The sequence below is a fragment of the Homo sapiens genome, chromosome 10, assembly GCF_000001405.40.
Source record: "Homo sapiens chromosome 10, GRCh38.p14 Primary Assembly".
Classification (NCBI taxonomy): domain Eukaryota; kingdom Metazoa; phylum Chordata; class Mammalia; order Primates; family Hominidae; genus Homo; species Homo sapiens.
In genome coordinates, this window is record NC_000010.11 from 15,848,429 (window position 1) to 15,867,293 (window position 18,865).

Consider the following 18,865-nt stretch of genomic DNA (forward strand, 5'->3'; position numbering starts at 1 on the left):
TCGAGACCATCCTGGCTAACATGATGAAACCCCGTCTCTACTAAAAATACAAAAAATTAGCCAGGTGTGGTGGTGGGCAACTGTAGTCCCAGCTACTCGGGAGGCTGAGGCCGAAGAATGGCGTGAACCTAGCAGGCGGAGCTTGCACTGAGCTGAGATTGTGCCACTGCACTCCAGCTTGGGCCACAGAGCTAGACTTCATCTCAAAAAAAAAAAAAAAAAAAAAAAAAAAAAGAAAGAAAAATTAAATGGCATTGTAGACAGTACATGTGTTTATATTGGCTTTACCTTAATTTAAATATTACCCAACCAGCATTGACTGATAGCAGCTAGCGGAAGTTCTTCAGATGGCCCTGGGTCAGAAGTTAGGAGAACCCAGTGACCATCTGGATAACCCTGTGAAGATCATTTCACCTGCTTGGGCCTCAGTGTTCTCATTAAAATAATCAATCCCAATTCCAAAATGCTAAGAACCTATAAATTCCATTAATTGTTACTATTCAGACATTCAGCCAAACCAGTTCAGGTTAATGAACATCTGATATTATGCCAATCATCTAGGATATATGCCTGGATGACACAGTCTCTGGTCTGGAGGAGCCACTAGTGCAGGTGAAGAGAGACATACAAACAGATAATTACTAAAATAAAGGAATAAACTAATGTTATAAGAGAAGAATGCAGAGTATTGTGGATACAGAAAGGCATGCTCTATACTATCATAACAGATAACTTCCAGGCTCATCTTGAACAGGAATTTGCCAGAGAGGCAAAGGTGAATGAATGGAATTCAGCTAAAGAAAATACCTTAATTAAAGCAAAAAGGTTTTCCAAGAGGACAGAATGTTTATAAATCAGAGAAAATTTAACACAGCTAAAGGGTAGTACGGGGGTAGGATGGAGGTGCCAGCAAATGGGCGGCAGGAAAGATGACAAGTGGTTAATATTGCAAAGGGCCAAAGAACCAGGACTTAACCAGCAGAGATCTTTCAGTAAAACAGTAATATCATCTTACTGGTTTTTTTTTTTTTTCTTTTTCCTTTTTTAAAGGAAGAGAAGCAGGAAGAAGTTGTTTCAACATCCCTATAGAGATGATGCTGACGTAATGAAAGCAACATTACCGTGGAGAAGAGAAACTACATTCAAATAATATTTCTGAGGTAAAAATAAGATTTATTTACTATGTGTTAAGTGGGGCAAAGGCTTGGTACAAAAGAAATTAGAGCTGTTTCTGAAGTTTCTAGTTTGAGACACCAGGTGAGAGCAATGGAGAGGGTGCCAGAGAGGGTGCCATTCCATCCCATCTCCTCTCTTTATCTTCAATCTCTTCCAGGAAGCATATAAACATTTATCTAACATATTAAAATAAAACAAAACAAAACCTTAAGATTCCACCAAAAACTCCAATCAGCACTCCATCACTCTTGTCCTCCCAAAGTCCAGCTAGTCATCTATATATGCCCTGTTTCAATTTTCTTACCACACAATTTACTTAACCCTCACTAATCTGGTTTTCAACCCATGAGTGAATGTTGCGGGAAGTTAGGGACCCTGAATGGAGGGACCTGCTGAAGCTGTGACAGAAGAATATAAATCGTGAAGATTTCATGGACATTTATCAGTTCCCCAAATTAATACTTTTATAATTTCTTACGCCTGTCTTTACTGCAATCTCTGAACATAAACTGTGAAGATTTCATGGACATTTATCACTTCCCCAATCAATACTCTTATAATTTCCTATGCCTGTCTTTAATCTCTTAATCCCGTCATCTTCGTAAGCTGAGCATGTATGTCGCCTCAGGATCCTGTGATGATTGTGTTATCTGCATAAATTGCTTGTAGAGCATGTGTGTTTGAACAATATGAAATTTGGGCACCCAAAAGCAACAGGATGGCTGCAGTGTTCAGGGAACAAGGGAGATGATCATTAGGTCTGACTGTCTGGGAGCTGGGCAGAACAGAGTCATATTTCTCTTCTTGCAAAAGCAAATAGAAGAAATATTGCTGAATTCTTTTTCTCAGCAAGGAACAGCCCTGAGAAAGAGAATGCATTCTCAGGGGGGAGGTCTCTAAAATGGCCGCTCGGGGAGTGTCTTATACAGTTGTAGATAAGGGACGAAATAAGCCCTGGTCTCCTGTAGCGCCCCCAGGCTTATTAGGATTAGGAAATTCCTGCCTAGTAAATTTTAGTCAGACCGGTTGTCTGCTCTCAAACCCTGTCTCCTGATAAGATGTTATCAATGACAATGCCGGCCCAGTACAACATGAAACTTCATCAGCAATTCTAATTTTGCCCTGGTCCTGTGATCTCACTCTGCCCCCATTTGCCTTGTGATATTTTATTGCCCTTAAAGCATGTGATCTCAGCTAATAAAAACTTGCTGGTTTTGCGGCTCAGGGGGCATCATGGAACCTGCTGACATGTGATGTCTCCCCCCGACACCCAGCTTTAAAACTTCTCTCTTTTGTACTCTGTCCCTTTATTTCTCAGACCAGCCAACACTTAGGGAAAATAGAAAAGAACCTACGTTGAAATATTGGGTGCTGGTTCCCCCGATAAGTGAACCAAACTCATTCTCACCCAAGTTCATCAGTCATCAGTACAGGCTAGTTCCCAAATCTTATCTTATTTAACCTTCCAAAGAATCAATCTGAAATGCTGACCACAAACCTGCGAAACTTTTGTCCCTTGGCTTTTTGTTCCAAGTTTTGCTTTTCTAGTTCTTCTGTCTCCATGATCACTGCTTTTAAGTGCTAATGTTCCCCAGGTCTTGGTTTTAGGATCTATGCTCCTTTCATTCTATATATTTTTCCTGAGTAATCTCATCTACTCCCAGACAGTCCATTCCTTGTTATAACCATGTAATTCCCAAATATAGCCCAGATTAGGACTCCAGACATAGACAGAGTCTAAGTCCCTTAACATGGTCCTGTATTATCTGGCTCCTGCCTGCATCTCCCTCTTCACCCTTTGCCATTCTCCCTTTTAGATTCTGGGCACATTTTCTTTCAGGTCCTGAGATATTTCATTTTCTCTATGTCTCTTACCCCTTGTAAATGTTTCTTCTGCTTGATACACCTGCTAACCATTTCTCTGGAAAACTCAAACTTACCTATAGGTTTCACCCTAAGATAAGGCCTGCCTGCTTCAAGGCTTCAAAACGTATCTTTAACGTGTCCATTTCCATCCCATCTCCAGTCCACCCTATAGTTCAAACCGCTATAATCTTTGACCTTAAATACTGTTGAGTTTCCAACCACGTCTCCCTATTCCTTCCTCCCTCCTGTCCAGTCCCCAACTATTCACCACACAGTTGCCAGAAAGTATTTTAGAAATGGAAATCAGATTTTGACACAGCCTGCTTAAAACATTTCAGTGGCTTCTCATTGCAATTAAAATAAAACCCAAACTCCTTTCTGTGGTCTAGAAGACACTGTATGATCTATCAATCCAGCTGACTCTGTTTACACTTACAATCATTATCTACTGTGACCTTAGGTCCTCAGAACATCCCAGAGACTTTACCTGTAGCCTCAATGCTCACTGTTCTCTCTACATAAAAATGCTCTTTCCGCTACTCTCCATATAGATAAATCCTTATTTTTCAGGTCTCAGTTTAGGTGTTAATTCCTCATAGGGATATTTCCTTACAAACCTATCTAAGTAGTCTCTCCTGTCATCCCCTAGCACAACCAGTACTTACCATAATCTGTAGTTATTGTTTGTTTACTTCTTAATCATCTGCCTTGCCTGACCGGTGTTGTATCTGTGTTACTGGTCATTGTTTTCCCACAGTATGTTTACAACATACTGTGGCTATTGCTCAATTAATGCTTGTTGATGTTTTGGCATGGAAGATAATGGCAGTGTTTGTTTCTAGGAATACCAAGTTCAGTCTCAAAAATGTGAGATAACCATTTGGCAACTTTTAGAAATCGGAGATGTAAGTGTGTAGTTCAGGGCAGGACTTAGGATTAGAGGCAGCAATTTCAATCATCTTAAACATGTCAGTTAAAGTGAATGAGAACTTGTAAAACAAAAATAATGAAGTTGGGAACTTTAAAAAGTGAGCAGAGGCTGAGTCAGCAAAGGAGACTGATAAACATTAGAAGGATAAGAGAAAAGCACATTAACTGAGCTCCTAGAAAGGAAAAATCAGAAGCAAAGAGTAGTCAACTATTACAAATGCTGCTGAATAAAGATATAAATTAAAATACTAGATTAATCATGTCATTGGGAATACTAAAAATATAAATTTACAGCACTAGGGAGAGTAGCCAAATTTTAAAAGGTTGAAGTGTAATTCGGATTAGAAAGAGAAATAGTAAAAGCAAACTACAGTTGGCCGTTCATATCCATAGGTTTGGCGACCACAGATTCAACCAAACACAAATGGAAAATATTTGAGGGTGGGAAAAAAACGATGGTTGGGTCTGTACTAAACATGTACAGACTTTCTTTTTCATATCATTCCCTAAACAATACAATGTAACAACTATTTGCATAGCATTTACAGTGTATTAGGTATTGTAAGTAATCTAGAGATTATTTAAAGTGTAGGGGAAGTCGTGTGTAGGTTATATGCAAATACTGCAGAGCGTCTATGGATTTTGGTATCTGCAGGGGGATCCTTGAACCCACTACCCCTCGAACACCAACAGACAACTATATTTAAGTTTGGCAGAAGGGAAAAAGGAATGATAGTTTGAAGGGTAGTTGGATCAAGAATTATTAATTTTGTAGACTGAAGGGTGTGAATTAGAAAAGGGAAAGAGTGATTATATGGAAAAGAGGAAGTTTAAGGTCTCCAAGTCCTGAAAAAGAGCTGAGAGAGACTTTTAAAGGTGGTCCACCGATAACCCTGGAAATCCTAGAGACCTTTCAGGGGGCCCACTGGAAGTTACAATTATTTACATGATAAAACTAAGATATGATTTGCCCCTTTCGCTGTGTTGACATTCACAGTGATGGTACAAAAGCTATGGTGTAATACATTGCTGGTTCCTTAGCATACATCGAGACAGTAACATCAAGCTGTCCTAGTGGTCACTGTCCTAAAAAACACCCCCATACCCTCACACAACTACAGAGCCAATTTAAGAACATACTTACTGCTGCAGTCAAAATTACTAATTTTATTGTATCTTGATCTTGAATACAATGTCTTTTTAAAAATATATTCTGCGGAACAAAATGGAAGCTACCCATAAAGCACTTATGCTACATACTGGGTATGATGGTCAAAAGTTATCTCAAGGAAAAGTATATGTGTAATTTTTTTAACTGCAAGCTGAACCAGCTACTTTTTTTTTTTTAATGGAGTGCTGCTTTTACCTAGTATAACTACCAATAAGCTACAGTTATTCAGACTTGAGTATCTGGCTGACATTTTCTCAAAAATAAGTGAGCTTGACATTTCAAGGAAAATAGCCAGTGATAAAATTTCGAGCATTCAAGCAGTAACTTGGAACACTTGTGTCCACTACTGTGACTCTGACAGCTTCTCAATGCTTACAGATTGTTCCGATGACATCACTGGTAACAGAAACAAACGTGACTTCTGGTATGGTATAATGACATACACTAACACTTGGAAGATTGTCATAAACCAGTAGACTGATAATCTCCAAATCACTGATGTATACTGTTATAAATTAATGCAGAGGTAAGAGATCTATTAAAACTGCAAGACAGACCAATGGATTTCAATTTAACAGAGGATGAAAAGTTACATGATTTGGTTTTAGATTTCGTATTGCAACTAATCTCTACAATACTCTGATGTGTCAAGTTTTGGTGTGGTATTAAAGAAGATTATGTGTAATTATCTGAAAAGGCTACTACCATACTTCTCATGCCTTTTCCAATTGCATATGTGAGGCCAGATTTTCTGCATCCACTTCAACCAAAATAATATATTGCCACAGACTGGAGAAGCCAGTGTAGGAATCCAGCTGTCTTCTAATATGATAAACATTAAAGAGATTAGCAAAAATGTAAAACAATGCCAAGAGTCTCACTAAGTTTTAAATTTTTTGAGTTGAAGTCCTCAATCATTTTTAACACTGTAATGGGGACCTGAGTTCCAAAAACTTGAGAGCCACTGGCCTAGGAGAAGAAGTAAATTTTAGAAGGCTTTTAAGTTAAACATATGAGGAAAAATGAAAAAGTGAACAGGTGTTATATTGAGAGTGAGAGGAATGAGAAGGGTACAGAATTGAGGAAAGTGTTAATTCCAAAAAACATAAGGAAAGAACTAAGAGAAGCACTGAGGGCTCAGCTAAGATTTAACTACATTTGTATTGGTGCTGGACACAATTTTCTCCAGCAATACACAGCAGCCTGGGAGATCAAAAATAGGACAAATGGAGAACTGGAATAGAGAAGATACATGTAACAAATTTAATAAGAAAGTGACAACTAAGGTTTCTGGTTATGTTAAAACAACCAAATTTAAGGTCCAACCTAGGAACAAGAGATGAAATCTTCACTGTTTGGCCAGCTCTTCTACTGAGAATAAGGAAAGGGACCCTAGTGTTGTACCCAAGTGCAGAGGCAAAATTAAGATCTGCTAAACTTTTCGTGTATGAAATTAAAGTGTGAATTAGTAATGGATCTTGCCTTCCTTAAAAATTTAAATCATGTAACTCAATTATCCACAGGTGGGGCTTTCAGTTGGAAATGCGTTACAGTGAGTTGCTTTTGTACTTTTAATATTAAAAGCCCATGGAGTGAATTCTAAGCAGTTATGCTTCATGCCAAATTCTGTTTAATTCCAGTATACATGTTTGAGTGTGTTAACTGATAACGGACAAAGGCTAGTAGAGCCAAAATGAAATAAAGTCAGCTAAATGAAAATTAAGTATTCTATCCTAAAACAGGACTATGCTGAGTAGACTTCTCTTTTCATAATAAGGTTTTACTTAAGTTTGAATTTCTCAGGACACAGCATTACTTTTCTTCTCAAGAGTTCTCATACTCAAATTATTTCCTAGTTTTAAAAGGACTTAACTTACCATAAATGGCCGTTTTTCCTGATTACGTCTGAAATTACCCATCTTAAAACACCTAATCCTACGTAGACAATTTTGTATCACATTACACAGTACTACAGATCACAGAAAAATCTTTCTCATTTTCACATTTTATAGCTCAGAACCAGGGTAAACCTGAGCCATGAACCTCATCGCAATTTTTCAATCTCTTGTTTTCATATTACTTACTATACATATACACATTTTGCACACCATTTTGACAACTATACCTTCTACAATTCTAGCCTTCCATGTAAACAAGGCTATAGAAAGACTTAGTTTGACATCCTGGCTGAGTCAAATATCTCAATTGGACTTCACATCTAAAAAAATGAGGATAACTACATTTGTTCTTTCCTATCTTTCAGGGTTGTTGCAAAGATTAGGTAAGATTTTCATAAGCTGTAAAATATAGTACAAATATAAGATATTATCACAGATACTTTCAAGTATTTGAATAATAAAACAAATTATATATTCAAAGTACCAAGGAATTAATTTTGTCATATATGCTTACCAATTACGAATTAAGAAATATTGGTTGTTAGGCAAATTATAATTTAGGTATGTTGAAGAAAGGAAAAATATATATAAGAGAATGTTAAAAACTTCCAAAAACAACAAAAAAACTTTTAAACGATGTGATCCACAGTATTAGCTTCACTTTGGAAGAAAAATTAATGATGTTGGTGTGTCATTTTATTACTTTGATAAAATAGTAAATCACATTAAAATAAATACCCAAACACGCCTTTAAACCTTAAATTAACCCAACTGTATTAACTCCTAATATATTTTATATTTATATTTTAATGGATCCCTCAATTTTCCTAAGTTATTTGTTAAATATCTTTTTTTCATATTACGTAACAAAAATTGTGCTACACTGAAAGCCCAAAGCTCTAATTTCAATCAACTACACCTACACGCCCCTCTTCCCCTGGGGAAAAAGAAAAAAAAAACCCACCCACTGTACTGCTACAAATAGCAAAAATAAATCTCTCTCTGACTAGTCTTTAGGAGAAACAATAAAATAACTGGAAGAAGGAAAATAATTGGAAGAAGGAAAAATGGCTATAAGAGTTTACACTCTCCCTCAGGCGTCAGCAAACTACAACCCTCATCTGCTTTCATGTTTTAGAATGCAGCCACACCCATACTAACCATGGCTGCTTTTGCTGCAATACCATTAATGAGCTGAGAGGCAATAAAAAGGCCACTCACCCTTTAAAGAAGTTTGCCAAACACTGAGCTAAGCAATCAATATTGAAAAGAAAATAAATTCCAAATAAGTCAAAATGTTTTTATTTATACAAGAAATACTACTTCTGTTAGGTCTAGCTGATTCTTATTTTGGTTCTGTTTGGTTGTGGTCACTCTGTCCGCTTCTTACCATCTCCACTACCACTACTCTGGTCCAAGATAGCATCTTTTCTCCCCTGGACTGCTGCCATTGTCTCTTATCTGATCTTGCTGTCCCAATCCACTACAGTCTATCCTCAAACACAGCAGGCAGATCAGTCCTTTAAAAACTTGTCAAGTAGTATCTCTCCTTTGCTTCAAACCTTCGAAGGACCCCTATTTCATGTATAAGATGAGTGAAAGTCCTTCTAATGGCCTAGAAAGCTTTATATGATTTGGGCCATTTCATTTCTTATATCATCTTTTATTACTCTCCTTTTCCTTTATTCCCCCTCCTGCCACACTAACTTCCTTCTTGTTCCTTAAACAGACCAAGTGTATTTTCTGTGAAGTTTTTTATAACTACCATTTGTTCTGCCTGGAGCACTCTTTCTTCCGACTTCTGCATGACTAGCTGAGTGACTCCAAGTGTTTGCTCAAATCTCATCTTAAAATGAGGCCTGACCAGGACACCCCACCCAGAACTCTGTATTTCCTCATCTTCAAACTATTTATTGTACATGTGTAATTTATGCTACGTTATATTTACTGTTTGTCTTCCCTCCCACCCTACTGACTCTCAACTGTAAGAGCTTGGAATACTGGTGTAGTTTGTGGGAAGGGGGGAGGATAAATAGTGTTAATGAGCTAAGGAAGTGAAAATTATATGCTATTCTTTAAAAAGTACTATAGGCAATTGAGCAGGAGGAAAGCAGAGAGAAGAATAAATTTTCACGTTAAAATAAAACCCTGCCAACTTTAAGCCCTTAAATTACATGGCTTATTGCCTTTAAAATTAAAACTGCCCAAAAAAAGAAGAAGAAAAAAAACACCCCGCATTTTTTAAAACGAACAGGGATTTGTAGAAGAGAATTATCTAAAAATGTCAAGCCAATTAAAAACAACTATGTGCCACTCCTGCAGCTTATTGTTTTAACAACCATATCAAAAGAATTTAACTTGATCAATCAATATAATTTTATAGATGAAATATCTCTAGACATAATTGTATAAATATTCATGCCAAACATCTTACATCTGTATCTTGCTTCCAGAAAACTAATGAGACTGCAGTTGTCAACTGAAGACACGATCACAGACTATGAAATAAAGCCAGAGTTGATGTCACATTAGTAATGCAGCAAAGCAGTGTCTTGTGCCTGTTCCCACAATCCCAAAGGACTGCCACAGCAATATTTAGCAATGGCCTCAAAGAACAAACAAATGAATACAACAGTTAACATATCAAAACCAGTAACAGGACCCCTCTGATTCAGAGGCGATAACTTCAAAAATATATGTTTGGTTGCCTTAAAATCTTAATCAGTGTAAGGCCTTGAAGAGCTACATATCCAAAATATAACTAACTGCACCCTGTAAACGAAAAAAAGAAAGAAATCCTTTATTTTGAAATGGTACTGATGGAACTAATCCTGTTAAAGAATTTCTGCATGATTAAAGGTGGCAGAGCGTTCTAATAAGTCATTATAAAGTTCTATTTAGAATAATGATTAGCCATCAAATAAACAACTTATTGTAATTGTCAGGAAAAAGCCAAAGAGTGAATTTGGCATAGTCTACAATTAAACACTTTTTAAAATAATATAAAAACAGCTACCATATACTGAGTGTTCACTATACGTCAGATAGTGTGCTAAGCACCTAAATTATTTACATGGCCTCTAATCCTCACAATAACTCTGTAAGGTCTATTATCTGTACTTTACAGAGAAGGAAACTGAGGCTTAAATAAGCTAAATCACATGAACCTGAACCAAGTACATCTATTCCAGACTGTGCTCTTAACCATTACTAGAACTGCCACCCTGAATCTTCCTTGTATTTGCATTACAGTATAAATATAAACAGGGCTGAATATTATCTTATTCTACTTTGTAAAATGTTTAATAAATGTTAACTGATTACAATGGAAGTAAATTTTTTCTTAGTCTTTCACAGTATTTTAGAGCTGCTTACTATTAGAATAAGTAAGTCAAAGTGGGAAGTGTTAAAATAAAATCTCCCTCTAAGAAGCCCAAGATTAGGTAACTGACATAATTGAATGTGAAAAAAAAGAGCCCAAGTCATTACATGTAGGGTTTGGGAACTCAAAGGAAGATAATGAAAACAGAGGTATATTAGGAATCGAGAGACCTGGAATCCACTCCCAGTTCTATCGATTTGTGCAACTTTGGCCCAGTCATTTACCTTTACAACTAATTTTTTTCGCCTGCAAAGCAACAGTGAGGGACTAAATATCCCAACTTAACAATACATCGTAATTGTAATTTTACCAGCTCTTAAAACAAACATGTGGGAGGGAGGGAGAGATTACGTAAATCCTGAATTTTTGTTACAAAATACACGTTTTGAAATAGGGGTTTATATTTACTATGCCAAAATTCCGCCCAATCTATTTCGGGAACAGGTGTTCCCTAAATAGATGTTTTAATAATAATAGTGTTTTACATACATAAATTATTGATCCTTCTGACTCAAGGTTATGTTTTAACCTCATCATCATCTTTCCTAAGTCACCTTTAGGAATGTGTCAGTTGTTTGCCTATCCAAACTTAAGAATTAGGGATAGTTACTAGTATAAAGCGCCCAGCCTGTTACAGTGCAAGAATTCAATAAATGCTTATTTTATTTCATTATTATTTGTACTAAGACTCTTCATGTAAGTAAAAGTCCTGTCTGGGTTACAAGCATACCGGCCGAGGAAGTACTATGATCCATATTCCTTTTTTAACCGTGACAGATAATAAACCATATAAAAAACGGGGATACTTTGGGCCAAGAGTACACTTTTTAGCAAATAACAGTGTTTATACACAGACTACCACGCCTAACCACATAATGACAATACAAACAAAAAACTGCTTTTTGGAATTAGCCACTTGGACTTTCCCTTGGACGTCCCTCCTTCTCACCAAAAATAGACCAACCACCACCAATAGACAGCTCTGTTAGGGGGTAAAGATGCGGAAGGCCACAGCACCCCTTGAGAAAGTGACACCGGGGCACGGGGCGCATCTTCCGTGTCACGCCCTGCAACCCAGCAAGGGGCCACCCTCTCCTCCTCCCCAGCCGAAGGGCAGCCCGGAGGATGGAAAGAGCGCTGCGGGTATTTAGTGGCAGCTGTAACCATTCTCCTACTCAAACTCTCCCCACCAAGGCAAGGCAGGGCGTGTCTAGAAAGTCCAGCTTCAGCGCTGAGCACGGCGACTGGGGCAGAGAGCGGGGCACGCGAGGGGCTGGAGCGAGAGGCGTCACAGGCGGACTCTCGCAGGGCAAAAGAAGCAGCGGCTGCAAGTGTGAGAGCCCCGCCAGGGTACCTTGCGTCCAGCGGCAGAAAATGGTGTCCGAGAGACCGGGGCTGCTCTTGGTGCCCCACACCAGCTCCATCAGCTCTTTAGTCAGTTCGGACATGATGAGGAACCGGCGGGCGGATCTTCGCTTTGCGGACTCCTGCCCCGGAACATGGGGAAGGGGCAACTCCGGAAACAGCAGCTGCGGGACGGCGGCGGCAAACGAATTGGAAGGTGAGGCAGGAAAGAAGAAGGGGCTGAGAGCCACTTGCAGAGACCAAGCCTGTCAAGCCAGGTTGGGGCAGCAGCGAGTTTTCCGTACCGGAAGTGCTGGTGCCACTTCCGACTCCTCTTTAACTCCCGCCCCTTAAGGCTGAGGGCCCGGAAGTCCCCTCCCCGGAAGTGAAATTGGAGGCGGAAACAGGCACGGAAAGCGGTGGAAGTAGCTTCTGACCTTTCTGAACTGTCTGGGACCCTTTGGTGGGGTGGTAGTTTTTGTATTGGGAAGGGGCGTCGGCGTGTTTCTAAACTCCAGGAATACCTTCTTCCTCTACGCACTGCTCTGGGCTAAGCTGGAGGCTCTGAGGCCCAGGCACTAGGAATTAGAACATATGCCCATTGCTTGTATTTTTCAATATTAATTTTGCAAAACTAGAACTATAAGGCAATAGTTGAGTCACAGTGCGGTAACATCCGTGCCTTTGTAGGGCGCTTCTCATAAGCTGGAGGCTGTCCGCCTCTGTACTTCAATAAATCAAAGTCAGACCAACTATTACCTAAAAACATGGCAAAGAATGTGGCATAATGTGCATTAGAAATGCTTCCACCAGCTGCAACGCAGAATTACAAGGTATTTGTAGGGAAACAAATTCAGAGCAACCTGTTTGTAAATGTTACAGCATTTTCATCTCCAGTTTTTGACACTGCAGAGTGTGTGGGCAACACCTGGACTAAAGTTTAGGTTTTACTCATTAACTAGCAGTTAAATTGAGTTCATGTGAAAACTTATGTTTGTGCTGCTTAAAAAAAGAGGGCTTGTATTGCCCGAGCTTTGAATTTAAAACGAAAGGGCAAAATCTGATTTAAAAAAAAATACATGCTTTTATTTTGGTTCTGTAAGGTTTCTGTACTCCTTGGAAACCATATTACTTTGGGATGCAGTAATGCAATAGTTAAGAGGCCAAGCTGTGGGTCATACTGGCCCATATTCCTACCTTTTGCACTTACTAGCAAGTTACCTACTATCTACCTAGGCTTTTTTCTTTCTAAAAGGGAGATTGCATACATTTCATATATTGTAAGGAATAAATGGAAAAAGTAACACATACAAAGGATTTGGTGTACTTCCTAGCACATGGAAGGCATTTATGCAACAGTGGGTATTTTTTTTACCTCAAGAAGCCATTTTGTGGGAATTTGATGCAACAGTAGTTCTGACTTTTTTACCCATAAATTCTAGCCAGTTGTATTTTAGTATAATACGTTATGTTCTCTAATTTCAAAAACATGCAGTTTCATTGTAGAATACCCTTGCATTTGGCTAATTAAAATTAACCCTTAATTTAAAATCTTTTAGATTGCAAATAAGGTTTTGTTAATTTATGCTTTATTACTAGCTATTTTTTCCTATTTATACGTTATTTCTAATTTTATTTTAATTAATTTAATTTTATTTCTTCAGTACCCTTTACTGTAATTACAGGGACTTGCCCAAAGTGCCTGTAGTAGAGCCATAGCATTCCTTTTGATCTTTATTCCCTTTAGAATATCCCTTGCCTTGTTTTTGCAAATCAAATCTTACCTATCCTTCATGTCAGAGTGTGCATGCCAAACTTTCTCCAGTCATTACAATTGAAAGTAATAATTATAATTTCTGAGGCTTCATAGTACCTTATGTGTAACTTGCTTATGACAATTCCTATCATCATTGTATTTGCAAAGAGTTATTTGCTTTTCTCTTGGGATATAAATTTATGGAAGCAAAGAGCTGCCTATTCATAATTCTAGCATGGGGCCTTGAACATCACTGGATCTCAATAATTACGATTCCAAGGAACAAAACTTGCCTTTACTGGAAATAAAGAATTCATTATCTCTCAGCAAGTGAGAGATCGGGGAAGTAGTACTGACTGCTCCAGTTAAATATCTAATATTCGCATGCTGATTACAATTTACGTAATTCTTCCACTTCCTGAAAGACACAGAAGGGTCTATGTACATAGAGCTCATAACTGGCAGACTTCTAAGTTCAGAAGTGTTTCCACATTTGACTTTCTCCATTAATGTATGTAAATATTAATGGTGTAGTGTATATAACACTACATTTGTTTCCTTTACATTAATATAGATAGTAGTTATAAGTTTGATTACTTTGTTATGAAAAAACAAAAAATTGTACTTTCAAACTGTATTTTTTTAAACGAGAAATTTTTTGATCTATGATTTTTCTTAGTTTCCAGCTACAGTGATGCTGGCAAAATCCTGGATAGACATTTATATGAATGTCCTTTCCACTTCCACATTATATTTTTTTTTTTTTTTGAGATGGAGTTTCGCTCTTTTGCCCAGGCTGGAGTGCAGTGTCACCATCTTGGCTCACTGCAACCTCCACCTTCCAGTTTCAAGTGATTCTCCTGCCTCAGCCTCCTGAGTAGCTGGGATTACAGGCACCCGCCACCATGCCCGGCTAATTTTTGTATTTTTAGTGAGATGGGGTTTCACCATGTTGGCCAAGCTGGTCTTCGACTCCTGACCTCAGGTGATCCACCCACCTCAGCCTCCCAAAGTGCTGGGATTACAGGCGTGAGCCACCACATCTGGCCCACATTATAATTTTTATGTGTAATCTTTTAAATTTTTTAATTAGCAGGACATATCTTTAACAAGGAATATTTTACTTTTAAATTATTGGCTTAATTATTCATTAGGTATAACATTTAAATAGAAATTAATATTCATCAAAATTGTTCTTATTCAGTAATTATCTATAAATAAATATTTAAGTGAATCACGTTTTGCATCTATACCTGGTGCTGGATGAAAATGCCTTTCTCTTGTTATAATGACTTGGAAAATTATGTAAATGTTCTTTCATGTATTTATAACACTTCATATTTTAGCATATTGTTTTTCTCAGGACTGTCTATGGTTTCGATTAAACTTGTATCACTGAGGTGTATATAGGTTGCATTAATAATCTTTCACTTCCTATTTATATGTAAGTTTTATTAATAATACTTCTGTTTCTTTCAAATTCAAGTCAGGGTGCTTCCATAAAACTGGGCTGAGATTTCCATTATAATGAATTCTTTTTATCCATCTTTACTACTTCAGGCAACAAAATTAATTACTCAGCATTAAACTCTAACTCTGTTTAATTATTTTCCTGTCTTTCCTCAAACTTTTTTGCCAGATAAAAGCACAACAACTTTATTGCCTAGTTCCTAGCAACTAACATGAAAAGTACAATTCTCCAGTTGGAAACCCTGGACTCCTAATTTAGTGTATTTACATTACTCCTTACCTAGAAGAAATCAAATATTTCAAAAACTCACCCTGTCATAAGATTAATAACATTTAGGTGGGTCATTAAAACAATCCCATACTCATTTATTACTAAAACTTTTTCATTTGTATGTCCTCTGCCTTCCAATAGCAGCATAAATCTACCAAAGCAAATGAAACTACTTCCTTCTGCATCATCCTAACCTTATCTCAGCAGGATAATACTTGTCCAGCTGAGCAAACAAGTCCCTTTCAGACTCACCAACATCATATTCAAGGGTGGCATAGTGTAGCACTCCCCATTGCATCTCCTACTGACATTAATACATGGTGGTAAAGGGGAAGTGTCATTAAATGCTGGGTTAAATAAATTTAAACAGGTCATTCACTGCAACTCTCCAGGAGTGGGGATTGTGTTTAATGTTAACAGACACATTTGAATCATTTCATTCACTGAACTTCTTATATAATTTATGTTCTGCAAAATACTGTTAGGGAATCAGGGGTCTAATGAAATCGTCTCTTGAAATGGAATTAGAAAATCTGAATGTTAGTCCCCATATGGGCAGTAAGTGTGATGTTGGGTGAATCATTTAACTAGCCGTACCTTGCTTTCTTCATCTGTAAAATAAGAGAACTAAATATAGGTTACTTCTTAAGGTCATATTCACTGCAGGTCCTGTACACTTCTATGATTCTAAAAAGTGGCTGTCTTTAACTTGAAATGTATGGGGATAATGGGGAGAAAAAGAATATCGGAAACGTGTATGGAATAGAGAAATAATTATGGCATTATTCTTTAAGACATAGAATAAAAGAGGTCATTTGCCATTTTAGCACTTGTGCTAACATTATGAAATGAGAAGATAAAATTCCAACTTGTACATTAACACAAGACTAGCTATATAAAGTAACCATATAATATTTACACACTTGGATGTGTCATAGGCACCTCAAACTTAATATGTGCCAAATTAAACATGACTCTTCCCACAAACCCTGCTTTACTCTCAATGTTTCATATATCAGTGAATGGTGCCATGATCTACAAAAAGCTCATTCCTTAATGTTCTTGATTGTGATAGAATGAATAAATACTCTCTTTCAGGCTCAGTTACCACATTCATAAAATGATCTTATTAATAATTGTATCATACAGCGATTGTGATATTTAATAGGGAACATTAGGCACGAAAGAATTACAAGCATTGAAAAATACTATTCTTATGTTAGTTTTATTAATGATTTAGGCAAAACATTATAAAGGAGCAAAGATGGTGTATGAATTATTTCTGCATTGAACTGGGGAAAACCAGAGAAGTTTGACCTGGATAAAATCTTGACTAGAGAAAAAAGGGAGGATGTGCATTTTATGCTTAAAATACTCTCGTGGCAGAATCTTAGCATTTGTGTTAGTAAAGAGAGATGAGTCAGGAATATCGGGTTATGGAGGGTGTAATGGACAGAATTCTGTCCCTCCAAAATCCATATATTGAAGCCCTAACCCCTGATTAAACTGGGTTTGGAGATAGAGCCTTTAAGAAGGTAGTTAAGATGAAATGAAGTCCTAAGAGTGGATTCTAATCCAATAGGACTGATTTCCTTCAAAGAGAGGAGAAAGAGACACCAGTGCATGATGTCTCCCTCTATACCAAAAAGGCCATGTAATGACACAGTGAGAAGGTTGCCGTCTACAAGCCCGGAAGGGAGGCCTCGCAAGAAACCAAACCTCTCAACACCTTGATTTTGGACCTCTAGACTCTGGAACTGCGAGAAAATAAATTTACGCTGTTTAAGCCATCCAGTCTGTGCTATTTTGTTATGGCAGCGCAAGCAAACTAATACAGTCTCTTAAAAATGTTAAATGTTAAATACAGGCATGCCTCAGAGATATTGCCGATTGAGTTTCAGATCATCACAATAAAGTGAATATTGCAATAAAGCCAGTCACACAAATGTTGTGGTTTCCTAGTGCATATAAAAGTTATATTTACACTACACCATAGTCTATTAAATGTGCAATAGCATTATGTCTAATAAAGACAATGGACATATATACTGTAATTTAAAAAATACTCAACTGCTAAAAAATGCTGATGACCATTTGAGCCTTCAGCAAGTTGCAGTCTTTTTACTTGTGGAGGGTCTTGCCTCCATGTTGGTGGCTGCTGATTGATCAGGTTGGTGGATGCTGAAGATTGGGGTCGTTGTGAAAATTTCTTAAAATAAGACAGTTTGTTGTATTGATTGACTTTTCCTTTTACAAAAGATTTCTCTGTGGCATGAGATAATATTTTATCCACAGTAGAACTTCTTACAAAATTGGAGTCAATCCTCTCCAACCCAGCTGCTGCTTTATCAACTAAGTTTATGGAATATTCTAAATCCTTTATTGTCATTTTCAACAGTGTTCATAGCATCTTCACCAGGAGTAGATTCCATCTTAAGAAACCACTTTCTTTGCTCATCCATAAGAAGCAACTCCTTATCCATTAAAATTTGATTGTGACATTATAGCAATTCAGTCATACCTTCAGCCTCCACTTCTAATTCCCATTTTCTTGCTATTGCCACCACATCTGCAGTTACTTTCTCCACTGAAGTCTTGATCCCTTCAAAGTCATCTATGAAAGTTAGAATCAATTTCTTCCAAACTCCTGTTCCTGTTGATACGTTGATATCCTTCCATGAATCACAAATGTTCTTAATGCTAGCCTTCAAGGTGGCAACTAGTGACCATGCCTCTTGATGGGCATGTCCTTGGGTAGTTCCTTTCCACATTGAAAAGACCCCAACTGCCTGACCAACTGGATATTGTGAAAGTAATGGGATGTGATTTTCAAAGGCATTGCAATTTCTGCCTGGTTTCGTGGCTCTGTTTCTTTGGGGGAAGCCAGCTGCCATGTTGTGAGGGTACTCAAGTTGTCTATGGACAGGCACACATAAAGAGAAATTCAGGCTAGATGTTCCCATCCCCAGTCTCTAAGATCCCACTTGGTTATTATTAGGACCTTCACCAAGACAAAGAAAATTCAGCTTTTTCTGAAATTCTCCTACTCTCAAAAAATAAATTCTGCCTTGGCCTTCAGCTTTGTTTGTTTCTGCCACTGCAGGAAGTAAGTTTTGTTTGGTTTTGCGTGTTTGTTTTAAATGCTGCCAGGGACCATTTTTGACTCTCATATTTCATCTTAGGTTGCTGATTAATAAATACAAGCCTGTCATTTTCTTTCCTTATCATTTCAATGGCACTTAAAAAGCAGACAGTCTTTGCAATTCAATATCAGTCAGTGATTAGCCATGGATTGTCCCTGTGGCTCTAGTTTGGTCAAGGATAATTACTCCTTGTAGAAAGAGACAGTTAAAAACTTTGAACTGCCAAGAATTTACAGTAGCTGGGGGATGGATATACCGACTGGTTCAATGAAAGGAATCTAGGTGGAATCTATGCATACCAAAAATCAAAAAGTCTGTAGCAACAACATACTTAATGAAGAAAAATTTCCGTTTTAGAATGGCAACAATATAAGACATCCTACAACCATCACTTCTATTCAATATAATAAAGGAAGGCAAAAAGAATACATAAAAAGACTAATAGAAATAAAGCTTCA

General features: G+C 37.6%; 1 protein-coding gene and 1 long non-coding RNA gene across 13 annotated transcripts in view, besides 1 other annotated feature; one reads left to right on the forward strand and one right to left on the reverse strand.

The window, feature by feature from the left end:
- Nucleotides 1-10,372, forward strand: part of LOC124902383 (uncharacterized) — a 121,044-nt gene extending 110,672 nt beyond the window's left edge. The window contains exons 3-4 of one of the 2 annotated variants that reach the window (XR_007062071.1): nt 1,051-1,160; nt 9,495-10,372. This is a non-coding gene — a long non-coding RNA (uncharacterized LOC124902383). Of the gene's footprint in view, nt 1-1,050; nt 9,264-9,494 lie in introns of those variants that run through there. The other variant, XR_007062070.1, reaches the window with a different exon arrangement.
- MINDY3 (MINDY lysine 48 deubiquitinase 3) overlaps nt 1-12,079 on the reverse strand; it is an 82,334-nt gene extending 70,255 nt beyond the window's left edge. For 10 of the 11 annotated variants that reach the window (XM_005252600.3, NM_001318330.2, XM_006717508.3 and 7 more), the window contains exon 1: nt 11,778-12,079. Coding sequence is in view for 8 of the 11 variants with exons in the window: in XM_006717508.3 (XP_006717571.1) it covers nt 11,778-11,871 (94 nt within the window). In the remaining 3 variants the exon portion in view is untranslated. Of the gene's footprint in view, nt 1-9,475; nt 9,540-11,777 lie in introns of all 11 variants that reach the window. The other variant, XM_011519694.2, reaches the window with a different exon arrangement.
- Nucleotides 11,821-11,870: an enhancer, noted in NCBI's record as "active region_3096". NCBI's record gives its function as "activates an Ori minimal core promoter by ATAC-STARR-seq in GM12878 lymphoblastoid cells {active_cell/tissue: GM12878}" and the evidence as "EXISTENCE:reporter gene assay evidence [ECO:0000049][PMID:35858748]".
- Nucleotides 12,080-18,865: the final 6,786 nt, after the last annotated feature.